This window comes from Homo sapiens, chromosome 6, assembly GCF_000001405.40.
Source record: "Homo sapiens chromosome 6, GRCh38.p14 Primary Assembly".
In the NCBI taxonomy this organism is placed as follows: Eukaryota; Metazoa; Chordata; class Mammalia; order Primates; family Hominidae; genus Homo; species Homo sapiens.
Window position 1 is genome coordinate 147,333,886 of NC_000006.12, and position 14,733 is coordinate 147,348,618.

A 14,733-nucleotide genomic window follows, 5' to 3' on the forward strand; every position below is an offset into this window, starting at 1 on the left:
ACCAGGCAAATTTATAACATATTGTTTACTTTGTATTTTATCATAGATTATATTTTTATTTGTTTTAACTGATGAGTGCTGTATTAGTTTGAGGTATTTTAATATAAAATGTTTCTATCTCAAACCCAATGTGCATGGTATCAGTACCACAGTCTGTTAATTTATTGGGTTCTTTTAAATGGACAGTAGTTAAATGTGTACTATAAATAAAAGACAAAACTGCACTTACATAAATGTATGGGTTGATTTGTTTTTTGTTTTTGTTTTGTAGCCGGTCTGTGTGATATTAGTGAAGGGACTGTTGTTCCAGAGGATCGCTGCAAATCTCCAACCTCTGGTAATTTGGTTTTTTTTTATTTCATTAATAATTATGATTTACAAAATCCAAGATAGCATACTAGTGTACATTTTGATAGATATGCATTTAAAATACATCTACGAAAACTTTTGTGTCACGTATTTAGTCTTAAAATCTTAACTGCATTCTTTGAATTCTGATTAAGTGGAAAGAAATGTAGCTTGTGCTAAATAAAAATCCAAAACTTTACCTGCTGAGAATCATGTAATTGTTTATTTAATGTTCTTATATTTACACCTTTTTTAGAGAAAATATATTTTACTCCTTGCCATTGGATCAAATGTCTTAGTTATCTACCATCTTTAAATGTTATGAAAAATGTTTAACACTTATAATCTAATCATGAGTGTAGACAATTAGAATAATTATAGACTAGTTGTATGTATTTTTATTTATGATGAAAATAGTTTCTGATATATTTATAGCTGTATTAAAGCAGTTCTCATTTCTTATCTATAAATGGGTCTTTATGTGACCTGTGTGTATATTAACATTTCAAAAGAATATTAATTTTTATTATCTTTGGAGACCTCTTAAAATTAAGAAGATCTTGAATTTATTTTATTTTGGTGGATTGATCCTTTTCTAATCCTTCATAAAGTTAATATTATTCACCAGTTTTCTAGTGAAGAGATCATTCTTAGCATAAGTAACACTGTTGTTAAGACAGGTTTTGATCCTTCCATAGCTGGTATACTACATCAGAAACAATTGTAAGAATGGGAAATATTGAGAAGGGTATTTTGTTTTACTCCCTCACATTTTAGTGTAATATTTTATTATATCTAAGACTGCAAAAGCTTTTATGTTTGCCTTTTACAATTGCATTTTCCTGATACTAACTAGTCGATTATTTCTTAAAGTTAAAATGTACCTATGCATTTTCTGACTTTCTTGTTCTTTAAACTTCATATTTAAATTTATTCATTAAACTAATAAAACATATGGAGGAATTGGTCACATAATTAATACCTAATAAGGTTTAACATTGGTAGAATTAAGTTTGAATGAATAATATGAAGCAGGAGCTGTTTTCTGTCTCCTAGGACTGTTTATTTCTGAATTTGGAATTTAGAATTGTAATATCTTTTAGTTCTTACTTTCCTTCTAACTACATAAAATAATGTTCTGACTTTCTCATCTTCCCCAAAATCGGTAAATGCATTTGTCAATATGTTAAGGATATAAGCCAGGGTGAACAATTTGGACATGGAACATGTGATATATTACACTTAAATATATTAAATACCATGGGAGATGGGTTTTAATAAGATTCAGCCCAAATAAATTAGTATTCCTTTTTATCCTGGGCCAGACTTTCAAAAAGTGGATACATCTAGCCCTTTGAAATAAACGTGATATTTGTAGATAAGTATATATTTAAATCTAAGTATATGAATATAAAAAGTAGCCGGGCGAGGTAGCAGGCGCCTGTAGTCCCAGCTACTCGGGAGGCTGAGGCAGGAGAATGGCGTGAACCCCAGGGGGCGGAGCCTGCAGTGAGCCGAGATCGCGCCACTGCACTCCAGCCTGGGCGACAGCGAGACTACGTCTCAAAAAAAAAAGAAAAAAAGAAAAAGTAAATAAAGGTTAAAAACCCTGTAAATTCTCAAAACAGAGAAACTCAAACATGGTTCAGCATTTTCAAATATATTTTGCTCTTTGGTCCATGTGAAAAGGAAAGTAATAGAGAAGTTCATATGTCCTTAGATATTTCATTGTTTCTATCTCAGCATGTTTGAAATGCAAAGTAAAAATTGCGACTTCAAAAAATCATTGATAAATCATGTATTCTTATCATTAGATATAGAAACCTTTGTTTAGGCTTTGATTATATTCTGAAAAACATAGGAATTCTCTGAGACATTATGTCGGTTTCTCCATATCAGGAAATACTGTTTTTTTTACAAAAAGTCAAACTTTAATAGGGAATAGTTGTTTCAGATAGCAGGAGATAGCAGTTATGCACAACTAGTAAGAGCATTACAGTAGAAACTAGAGTGAGATTCTGGAAAACTATTTTAATATAAATAATTTTGACACTGCATTTTTATAGCTTGTGTGTGTCTTTCTCAACTTGTCCATGTAAAAATTGTTAATAGTAATTTTTGCCATCTATTATGGGTTAATTGTCTTACTCTGTATATTTGTAACGTTTTTTAACCTTCATTCCTGTTAACATTCTAATAGGAAAATAAAGAAATAATTTATTATTACCCCTTTGGCCAACACATGCAAATTCTACTACTTCACGGTGGTCAAAAAAGAATAACAGATGGGATGAATTTGAAGTGAATCAAAAGAACCACAAGGGGATCATGTTTTAAAAAACATAAAAATTAGTAATTAAATTACAAGCCTCAAATAGTTTCCACAATGAGAATGATATAAAGAGGTAAAATAGTTGAGTGATGCATTATAGATTATTAAAACCGATATAGCTAATATAAAATAAGTTGGTATTTATGGGAAAAGAAGAAATGTATAAAGTGGATTGGGAGTTAAAATGAGTCTCTTGTAAATATTAAGTGGAAGACCAATATAGAAATATAAAGTAGCCATATGCCTTTATCAAAACCAGTAAGTTAATTTAAAATAATTCATATATGAAGGGAAACTTTTTAGAAAACCTTTTAAATCTCATAATCAAGATTTGTGATCTCAACTGTTTAGTTAATTAAAATCAAAGCTATCTTCAGAAATCATCATGAGAAAAATCCATGTAATGCATATAGTTTGCCCTTTTCATTTATTTTTATGTAAACCAGTGGTCCCCCAATAGAGAAAGTTAATTCTGCCTACTGAACATATGCATCCTGAACGAATGAAGGGAAAGACTTTCATTTGATCCTTACATCAAAGAACTTATATTGCTTCACTGAACACTTTAGTATTATTGGAATTTTTTTAGTACTGCATGCAAAGATATATATATATACACATACATAGACACACACACACACACACACACAAGAAGTCATGTTAAAATAAATTTTTAAACTGTTAGGTTATTTCAAGCTGAAGAAAACCCAGGGCCACACATACCATGATGTAAATGGTGCCTTCAAGTGCATTCATGATTTAAATGAAATCATGAAAAAACAATAAGCTGTAGATATTATCTGTGTTTTATTGTAGAAATTTAGTAAATATATTCAAATAGGATAAGCAGAAAACTATTTTGGAGCTTTTGCATGAGCTGTCACAGAAGTTATAACAATCAGTAGTAAGTATTTTTAGTTAGAAGAAAAATAAACCTCCTTGTTTTGTTTACATTACAGCCTATGTTGCCTTCTTGTATTTGAAAATATGAAATATTTTTCTGATTTTATTATGTATAGATATGTTATCCTGCTATTTCTTTGATATGAAATATATCAAAATTAGTATCAATAATACATTTTTGTACATTCATGTGGCTATTTTGTAGAGATAGTGATATTTTAAAATATATATAACATATAACCATTATTTAGAATTAAATTCAGAATTACATTAAAAACAACTATATGTATTTCTGTTCCTGGAAATGTTACTGAGCTCAGTGTTACGTGTGTGATATTTTTTGAAGTGGGATTTATGAGGATCTGTAAATGATGTTTAACAGAAATAACATGGACTTTAAAAAAGTAACCTTCTAAGACCACTATAAAAGTAATGGTTCTGCCAATGCTGGCAGGTTTTACTCGGTCAGAGAAAAGCTGTCAAGGACATTCACCACTTGACCAAGGGAGAGAAGTACAATTTTATTGGAGAGTGTTATATGTGGTGTCAAATTTTGACCTGATTCATTAAGATTCAGTGCTTTTACTGGGATATTTTTAAAGCAGAGAAAGAAAACCTTTTATCTACTTCCAATTACATCGTAGGTATTTGCCTCTGGCAGAAAAGCTTTATGAATTCAGCAGATACTTAGAGAATTCTACATGTAACGCACTCCACTAATCACAAAAGGGATACAAAAATGAATCAAATGTGGGCCCTGCCTTTTGGAAGTTCATTCCAGTGAGGAAGGTCATATGTGCATAAATCTAAAATAATAAGGTATTAAGTGGTTAGCATCATATGAGAAATATATAGATAAAACATTAAGGGAACTCAAAGGAGAAGTGATTTATAGCTGAGGAGACTGAAAAATTGAATGGATGAGGTATTGAGATGTGCCTTTAAAGAAGAGATGTCCAAACGTGATCAACCAAAATACTACTTGAGATCACATTTATAATAAAAGATATGTTATAAATTAAAGAAATACTATGAGAAATTAGAAGTTTTTAAGGAAAAAATTACCCAAAAAATCTTAAAGAAATGTTAGGTAAGATTATATGATAATATTGGGAGTCACAGCCAAAATAAAATTAAATATTTCTTACCTCCATAAATTTAGGTAGACATTTGAACATATCTACAAATATAAGTATTATCTTCACTATTTTAAAGATCCCTTATTGTACATTTTAAAGATTTCTATGATATGTAGTAGAATGAATATATAGTTTTAAACTGTCAGTCTAACTCTAAAATAACAAGTTTTACCAGCAAATTTATAGTACAAGATCTTGGTTCTGCTAGAGAAACCTTATTCAGTTAATACTATCAAGAATTCCAGATTTTTTCGAAGAAACAGTTAAACACTATTTATAGTTTTTTTTAATATATTTTCTAACATCTAATATACCAAGATTTTGCCAAATTGTTGTAGAGTTAATATTTATATATACCAGGGTCTACCATGAAAGATATTGCACTACTTATTACTATACTGTAATAGTATAAGAACTGTTATTTACTTATACATGGCCTCTTCTTGTGGTCACTAACATGATAACTTGTTTTGAAAGTTACCAGATTTTTTATTTGTACATTTTTCTTGTTACAGCTCAGTATTTATGACTGACCATCTACCTATTCCTTCCGTTGTCTTCATTTGTGTAGGTTCTTCATCACCACACAATTCAGATGATGAACAAAAAATGAATAATTTTATAGAAAAGGGTATAGTATCTTGATTTTAAAGTATTTTCTTTTATGTTTAATTTATTTAGTTTACTTTGACTAGATTTTGACATTTTATATCAAAATATTGTTTTCAGTGAAGACCAAAAGCAGAAAGTTTTCCAAGATGGTAGCCAATGATATAGGTAGGAAATAGAAATTTCTATTTTGTTTCTAATCCTTGCTATATGCAGTGCTAACCCAACACCAGAATTATCCAGTGCATTGCATTTTTGTGTAAATTTGTTGTTCCTATGCTAAAAAAATAATCTCTTGGGCTGTGTCTCTTCTAAACTCATTGGGGCAATAATTATTAAAAATCAGTTCAATTGGGTTGCAGTTCTTTCTCTGACTTACAGTGTGAATTTCTCTGTTAATTTTATTTTTGCTTTACTTTAAAATAAAGCAGGGTTCAATTTATGCCGTAAGTAACACAATTTTATACTCCGAAGTTTTGAAGCAATGGTTTCTTTATAGTTTTATTTGTGTTTTTTCTACCTTTATTCTGTCTCTCTCATATTTTCAAGGCCCCGTATTTCAAGGAAATGGTTTTCTAAAAGATTGACTCTTTTAGTCTATAATCTGTACCGCCTTTGGCAAAGTTAAATAGGAATTTTCTAGGACTGCCCCTACTCTCTCACCGCAAGTAAAAAATGCATTGCTTCTTGTGATTGTTTTTGTGAATATATGTTGAGATGAATTGCTCAGTCCAAAGTTCTCAAAGTTTAAAATTAGGGAACAAAATATATAATCAAACTTTGAGGACATAATCAAATTAGGGTTTCAAGGTCACGAAAGTTCAGATGTTCTCCAAAGATTTTTAAAGTCTTGAAAAACACTTTTAGAAAAAGAGGATAAATTTGATCTTTGATTTAAATTCTAAATTTTTATCATACAGTTATTGTATTATTTCCTCCCAAAACCTCTATCACATATTCTTTGAATTCAGTCAAATTAGAGGAATTTCTAGGCAGATGGAATAGTTTTACTTTTTCTCAACTGATAATGTTTTAGATATGCTTAAATTTTCAAAAATTCTTAGAAGTAACATCCATGTTGTCTGTATTTTATAAATTGAACCCTGTTTAGTCATATTAACGGTGGCTGACTGTTAGCCCCTTGTCATTTTTTAAATAAGGTGGTTTATTCTTGGGCAAAGGGCTCTTCATTTATGGAGAATCAATTATTTATCTTTGTATTTGTGGGGTTTTAGTGACTCTTTTGGTAATAGTTAAATCACTGTAATTATGTACTAGCACTATGGCACAATAGTCTTTAACCAATTTCATTTATTGTGTATTCTATCTTAATAGTACATTAGAGGTTCTTTTGTTGTCATATTATGCAAAAAGAAAAGATTTTCCTACTTACATTTTACTAAACAACTTTAAGAATTAAATTACCTAGGGATTTTACCTTGCATGAAAGGGACTTTGTACATAATTAAATTTTTAAAAACAATTTTTCTGTCTTATATTTTGTGCTGGGGTTCTATTTATTAAATGTACTGACTACCTTCCCATTTTTTCTTGTTTTAAATAGAATATGTAACATGTAATACTTGAGCTTGACTATTTGAAAGACTACATTAGAAAATTTATCAGTGTTGATAATGTTATTGGAAGGATAGTTCTTTGATGACATTCTTGCTTTATTTTTATCTTATTGGTGAGTTTTACTTTTTGTCACTCCAGTTTCTGTAGTTATATATTTTGGGGAAAGCATGTTATGTTAACTTCATTCAGCTTTTCAAAATTTTGGTAGTACAGTTATGCATAATTATTTTTAAACCTCAGGAAGCATTGTTATATCCTTTGGCTTTGTTTGAACCTTTCAGTGTGTTTTTTTAAATCACAAGATTTGGGTATACAGAAGGAAAGTTAGTGTCACGTTTTTTTTCTTCTTTCAAAGGGAGACTGCCCCATTTTAGACTGTAAAGTTTTTTTGCATTTGAAAAACTAACACATTAGTTTATCTCCCTACATTAGTATTTAGTTTTGTTATAAGAATTAGCATAAAATATGCTATTGAAAAACATAAAATGTCAATGAAACATTGGAAAAAAACTCATAGATCTTCTGAGGACCTCCCTGTCAAGACTGGTATTTTGTGCATGAAGCTGTGGTGTCAAAAGTATTAGGACTTCTTGAGCATTCTGAACTCACCGTATCATCCGATCTGGTACCTGCTATGAAGTATCCTGAACCTCATGAACTTACCACCTCTTCTTCCTCAATATACAAGCATTTATAGCTTCAACTTATAGGTAGTTATACAGTGGCTGGGAAAACATAAGAATTAGTACCTCCAGGGTTGCACTAGTAAAAGAGCCACCTTGTGTGGAAGGTGAGTAAATAGCTTGGCCCTGAAAGTTTGCCCCTGAGTTTTACCTGTTCTTCGAGAGTAACTGCTGCTGGTGTCAGTTTGTGTGTGTGGGTGTGTGTGGGTGTGTTGTGGGTGGGTGGTACAGGATGGCAGTCACAATTTAATGGTTAACCCAAGCATGGGAAATCAACCACCCTACCTTTTTTTTTTAACTGCCTGACAGTACAGCTGAGGTAGCTGAGACTATAATGATAAGCTTTTTGAATGTATTTAGCCTTTATCTTATAATTTTTCTGGCATGTGCCAGCTTTTTATAAATAATTTTTCTCAATCCACACAATAATCCCAGCGGGTTAGTTACTACTGTTTCCCTGTTTTACAGATAAGGAAACTGAATATAAGTAATGTATTTGTTGGTACACAGCTAATAAATGAGAGCAGGATTTACACCCAGGTAGCCCCACTCCATGGTCTGTCCTCTTAAACACTGTGCTATGTTATCTCTTAATACAATTTACAGAAAACTAAAGGATTCAAAAGCAAATTCATGGTGTGATTAATAACCAGATAATTTGGTTATGGCCCTGTTCTATCTACACAATAATCTGGAAAAAAAAGATTAAGTTCTGTGTTAGAGCCAGATCATGGATGCCATCTTGGTACCCATCACTCAAGTATAATATAGTGTCTGGAAGTCTACCTTCCTCAAAGACTAGACTCAAAGGAAGGATAGCTAGAGCAAACTCTGGAGTACCCTAGCCCATCTACCCAAAGCCTAGCTTCATAGTTTATTTCCTGATTGAAAACTAAATCAGATGAATGATCCTGACAATGACCTTGATCTTGCATAAGAAGAGCAGCCTATAAAAAAATAGTTTTAGTCTTGTGAGTTTGACAGCAAAAACATAACAGAATATAATGTAATTGCAGCATCCACAAAGAAAGCTTCATGCATGTAGTATGTATGCATATGGTAATTTGTTTTGCCTGTGTATACCTTATAAATCTTTATTAGTAAAATCTTGATTACCAACATTTTCAAAATCCATAGTTTTTCTGTACTGCTATAAATCACTTAGAAAATAAGATAGGTTATCAATTTTTTATTTACTTGTTATTTGTTTTACAAAAATTTGAAAGTATAGAGTTTCACAAAGCTTTTTGTTATTTTTAATTTATATAAAATAGTCCTACAATGCATATCTTGGTTAATGTATGAATCAAATTTTTCATGATATCCTTATGAATAAAATACAGCCTACATGCTAGCATTGTTTGATAAATTTGAAACTACATGATTAACCTTTTCTAAAGATTATTCTATTTCATTATGGTTTTGTTTCATGCTAAAAGTAGATTTCTAGCTGGAACCCATAGTCTGTGACCTGGCCTATATCCAGTTTTATTACTAATTTTCTTATGGAAGGAATGATTACCAAATTCCTTCTGGTTACATGAAGTTGTGAGGGGAAAATAATACCAAGGATAAAAAATAATGACTCGAAATTATGGTTACTTAAATGAGTGCTTTGCCGAAAACAAGTAGAAATAATAGCTTCATTTATTGGGCACCTCCTAAATTCTAGACACTATACCAGGTATTCTTTATGTGGTATTTATTAATGGAGGGAAAATTATGTTTCCAAGGTTACTTTTATCTCTCCAATTCTGAGTTAACATAATTATTTAGGTAAGGGTTAACTTACTTAGCAAAAACTGGAATAATTTTTGAATTCAGTTTAAATGACAATAATGTTCTTTCAAGTGCTGTTTTTATTAGTTCTCTTACACATGAATCTCAGTGATTCCTTTTTTAAAGTGTTCCAATATAACTAAAGTCTTCTCTTTGTTGTTTTATTCTACATCACTAACTCATTAACTCACATAATTTTAAAGCAGTTCTAACACCTTTATTTTTCAAGAAAAGAAATTGAATGTCAGAGAAGTTAAGTGACACATCCAAAGTAATGCCCCATGGTAGTGACTTAGGACTGGAATCCAGGCTTCTTGAGTCTTGTTTTACTATGTATAGCATGTTTCACACTTCATACTCAACTATCTGCTTTTGCTTTCTTATGTGATTGCTTTTTCTTGTGTGTCTTCTCAATTCTTTTGTATCTACAAGTTAAAAAATAAATTCACAAAGGTTCATTTAGATCTGTTGCCATATGAATGAAAAAGTGTATATTAAGTCGTATTTTAAGTTATCAAATTATTTTATTCATTGTAAAACTCAAAATAGTGCTAGTATTTCTACTTTACATTCCCCAGTATTCAACCTGAAACGTGGCTATTGAATTTGTAGAATTTAGCTTTTATATTCAATCCACAAGATGGCTATTGAAAGGAGATGCTCAGTTTGAAAGGGATGATTAGTAGTGTACAGTGATACCATTTTTACAGGTGATTTTAATATTTTCTATTTTGAAAGAAAATTATTTCTTGCCCTTAATTGGTCAAGAACTAAATTTTATAGGCAGATACTTCAAAATTATTATATGAGTCTGAGTACTAACAAATTCTTTTTCTTTTTTAGAATGAATAAAAATTGGAAAGTATTGGCATATTGTATATTTAAATTTAAATTTTATTTTTGAATGTATTTTCTGTCAAATTTCTTAATAAAATGTGCTGGAAAGTCTGTGTTTCATATTCCTGTACTTACTGTATGTGTACTTATCCCTCTATTGAACTGTCTTTTTTTACATTAAAAGGATATGCAATGACCTTTCTAGAAATAAACTGTAGTTTGCTTCCTAGCATAAAGAAAATTAGTCTGAGTTAGTCACATTACTGAAATAAACCTTTGTCAACTATTATTTGAACAAAACTATAAATGTGGCAATTTATGTTCTGTCATTACTTATTTTATTAGTTTGTTAGGACAGCCACCACAAAATACCACAGACTGGGAGGCTTAAACAATTCGGGAGGTTAGAAGTCCAAGATCAAGGTGTCAGTGGGTTTGATTTCTTCTGATGCCTCTCTCCTTGGCTTGCAGACAGCTGCATTCTCATTGTATGCCCACATGGGTTTCTGTGCAGAGTACAACCCTGGTATCTGTGTATCCACATTTCTTCTTCTTATAAGAACCAATCAAATTGGATTAGGGCTCAGCCTAAGGGCATCATTTTAACTTAATCACTTCTTTAAAGGCCTGTCTCCTAGTATAGTAGAGGAACTGGGGCTTAGGGCTTCTATATATGAATTTTGCAAGGATACAATTCATTCCGTAACACTGTGTTAGGTTTATGTAATACCTTGTATTCGGTACAGAATTCTCTTTGAGATGTTGCAAAGAGTTTAATTATGATGTTATTTAGACATTAAGTTTTATGAATGCTTGGAAAGCAGATGGGTCAGGAAAAAAATTGAAGACAAAAGCTCTGGGAGTTCAAGAATGAAAAGAACTTGGTATAGTCAAGTGTTTACTAGACAAGTACTCATATCTTTAAAGATTTACCTCTATTTCAGGTAATAGATATAGATTCTATGGGTATTTTCAGAAGTCGTCTTTTTGATTAACAGGTCTGTATTTAATTTGCCCTCTTTTTCACTTTATTTCTTTTCATTTGTGAAGAAATTCATCATTCTATATAAGTAAAATTCCAATGACAGTTTTGGTTCATTTATTCATTGCAATTATTTATTCATTGTGTTTATTAAACACACATTAAATGCTGGAAACAGACATATATAGAGCGTTTACAAGATAAATTCTGTTTCTGAACTCCTGGGATGTTTTAGCATGGGAGATAGACATTGGTATTATTAGTTCTAATGGCTACTAAAATACATACGATACATGACAAGAGAGTTTCTACTTCTTGGTTCCACTTTTCTTCTTGGATTCCTTACTATATCCTGCAAACTTGAGTTTTAATTCCTTTACTATCTCAGTTGTTTTATTTAACACAAATACATTCCAACATTATCCCTTTCAAGAGAGTAGTGTTGGATCTCTGCCTGTGGTGACAAAAGTAATATTGTCATTTTATTCTAATTGTTGAAACTCTCGGTATAAACAAAAATCAACTTGCTTTTATGACAGCTTCATCAGTCATAGTTCTTTTTACCTTTTACCTTTACGTTATTTTTTACTATAAATTTCAGATTCTAAAAAGTGAAGTTATAGTTCTGTTTTTCTTTCAAGAATGCTTGTTTAGAAAAAAGATGTGGACACAGTGGGTAGAAAAACTAAAGGGAAATTACAAAACATCTGTTTAATTTGCTTCTCTTGGACATCATACATCTTTTGTTGGTATTGAAATTTGCATTGCAGACATAATTATTGTGATCAGGTATAACTTCGTTATTCCTACTAAACAAATGCAGCTCTTTACTGTTTATACAACCAGACAGTTTGATGTCCTTATTCAGGTTTATAAGAAGAGAGCAATGACCCACCTTAACAACCTGCCTACACTCTCTGAGACTAGTTTTCCTCAGACTGAAGAAACCTTCTGTCAGAGGCAAGGGTTGAAGAATACACAGTGGAAGAAGAAAACAGAAACAATGTGTCTTTCAATAACTCATCCAGATTGCATGCTTTCAGTTTGAAGGTCACAATAGAAGATGAGTAACTTCAAGACATGAACAGAAGTTTCTTGATAAGTACAGTGAAACGAGCTAGCTGGGTAAATGAGTTTCGTAAGTGATTCTGGGACTCCTGAGAATTAGAAATATGAACATCATAAAATTGTTGGACAAAGTCTACAACCCCATCATCACAAAGTTATACCAGTGTACAGAGTACAAGCCAGGAGGACCGACTGACTAGAGGTTCTCCAGAGATGGGTCTACTTCTTGTAGTGGTCTTGCCATCAAGGAGGTTGGCTAAACAGACCTGAAGCGAGTATATTCCCCAGAAGTCATAAAAATTGAAAGATACACGGCCAGGCGCAGTGGCTCATGCCTGTAATCCTAGCACTTTGGGAGGCCGAGGTGGGTGGATCACTTGAGGTCAAGAGTTCGAGACCAGCCTGGCCAACATGGTAAACCCCGTCCCTCATAAAAGTACAAAAAAATTAGCCAGGCATGGTGGCGGGCGCCTGTAATCCCAGCTACTGAGGAGGCTGAGGCAGGAGAATTGCTCGAACCCAGGCGGCGGAGGTTGCAGTGAGCCAAGATTGCACCACTTCACTCCAGTGTGGGTGACAGGGTGAGTCTCCTCAAAAAAAAAAATACAAACTTTTAGCCAGAAGTTCAACTTTAGGCCTTAGGTTTGGGACTTAGCCACCCACTAAAAACAACTATAAAAATTGGTCAAAAGATACAAACTTAGTATTTCCAGGCATTGAACAGCAGGCTTTCCAGGACTGTCATCCTTGAGAAAATGGAGATACATGAGGTGAGCCCCACGTTTCTCCCACCTTTCTGCTCAGCTTTCTGCGACAGAGCACGTTCCCGTTGCAGCACAAGTGGAGCTGCAGTATCAGAACCTAAGGAGGCAGAGAGTGGAATTCTGGGTTGCTGGCATGACTGGAATATTTGCTAGAGAGGAGGAACTGCTCCAAGAAGTTCTAGAAGTCTCTGGACATTCAAACTAGGTCCTGAGAACTGTATATTTTAAATGCTTGCATTGGAACTGTTTTAAACCAATGATCTCAAGTCTTTGTCTTAAGTTAGAAAAAGAAGGGCAAATTAAACGCCAAGTTAATAGAAGGAATAAAATAGCACAAAGTAGATATCAATGAAATAATACATAAATAATAGAGGTAAAGAGTTTTCAAGGATGAAGGTGAACAGTTTTCAAGTATGAAGACAATAGGCAGACATTTCTAACCATGAAAGAAGCCAAGGAATACAGCAGTCATTTTTAAGAACTACCTCATGATGAAAGTTCCACAATTAAGTACTACAGCAAAATAACCCAAGAGATGGAAAGCCATGGTAGGAAGACTGATGTTGATCTTTAAATCCATTTAAACTTAAAAGCTACACTAAACCTTTGTGCAAATTGTGATTATAATATACCAGTTGTAAAACTTATAAATGTGAAAATAATATAACTAATACAAATCAAGAAGAAGGAATGTTTGATCATAAAAGGAAAAGAGGGCTACTTTCCTGATCTTTCGTAGCTGAGAGCCAATATTTACTGTCTAATAGTTACAGAAATATTTCAACCTCTGAATGTTTTACACAGTGTATTTTCCTGTCCTTGGAGCTTTTAAGAAAAGATACATCTTGTAATAAAAAAAAGTTTGAAATATAGTAGTTCCTTTAGCTTCACTTTAGTTAGATGTAAGGAAAAGCAAATGTTTATTGTATTTAAGCATATAGTATCACAAGTGTCTGCAAATATTTATTAGTGGCTATCTCTATACAAAGGATGATATCAGATGGATGTTCAATTAATTTAATGATTATTTCTGGTTAGCAGGATGTTGGGTGATTGTTTTTAATGTATACTTTTCTGTATTATTTGAATTCTTTATAATAAGAATGAATTATTTTTACAAAAACAGTTTAAAATTTTAGTTTAAATGTTAGTAATGACATTATATCTGGTTAACAATTGCTCTCTGAAGTTTTCCCAGCTTTACACTAAAGTACCTATGAAATCAAAGAAAAACATGGACATTCAGTTTCAGCAGGAATTAGGTAAGGATAAGTGATCACAACCCAAGTCAACATTGCCACTCAAGACAAAGCCTTGGTAGATACTGCACAGTTCTTCTGCCTGCCACTTACAAGCATTTAGATAGATGCCTCTTCATGCAAGGGAAAGAAACCCATTACAGACATCCTAGGATTTAAATCCTTTCCCTCCCTCCCTCCCTCTCCCTCACCTCCTTCCTCCTACTCCCTGTCCCCACCCTGTGAAAGGCATGCATGCAAAATAGACAAGATTCAGAGGTAGATAAGCGATAACTAGTTAACATTTCAGATTTCTCAGCTGCACTCAATACAGTAACAAAATGGACCAACTTCTTAAGTTTTGAGGGGATATAGTTGTGAGCAAAACTTTGACATTTTACCAAAGTTACATATGTTTTTCTTTGTTTTCATCTAAACAGTTTTTGTAGTATTATACTTAATATACCTTTGAA

General features: G+C 32.2%; 1 protein-coding gene across 15 annotated transcripts in view, besides 1 other annotated feature; it reads left to right on the forward strand.

The window, feature by feature from the left end:
- The window catches only part of STXBP5 (syntaxin binding protein 5), a 186,057-nt gene that overhangs the window by 129,469 nt on the left and 41,855 nt on the right, over positions 1-14,733 (forward strand). For 8 of the 15 annotated variants that reach the window (XR_007059202.1, XR_007059201.1, XM_047418197.1 and 5 more), the window contains 3 exons: positions 272-337; positions 5,294-5,353; positions 5,452-5,499. Coding sequence is in view for 12 of the 15 variants with exons in the window: in XM_047418197.1 (XP_047274153.1) it covers positions 272-337; positions 5,294-5,353; positions 5,452-5,499 (174 nt within the window). In the remaining 3 variants the exon portion in view is untranslated. The remainder of the gene's footprint in view (positions 1-271; positions 338-5,293; positions 5,354-5,451; positions 5,500-14,733) is intronic. The other 7 variants (XM_047418199.1, NM_139244.6, XM_047418204.1 and 4 more) reach the window with 2 other exon arrangements.
- Positions 10,674-10,874: a silencer, noted in NCBI's record as "peak6197 fragment used in MPRA reporter construct". NCBI's record gives its function as "represses an SCP1 promoter by STARR-seq MPRAs in K562 erythroleukemia cells {active_cell/tissue: K562}" and the evidence as "EXISTENCE:reporter gene assay evidence [ECO:0000049][PMID:32103011]".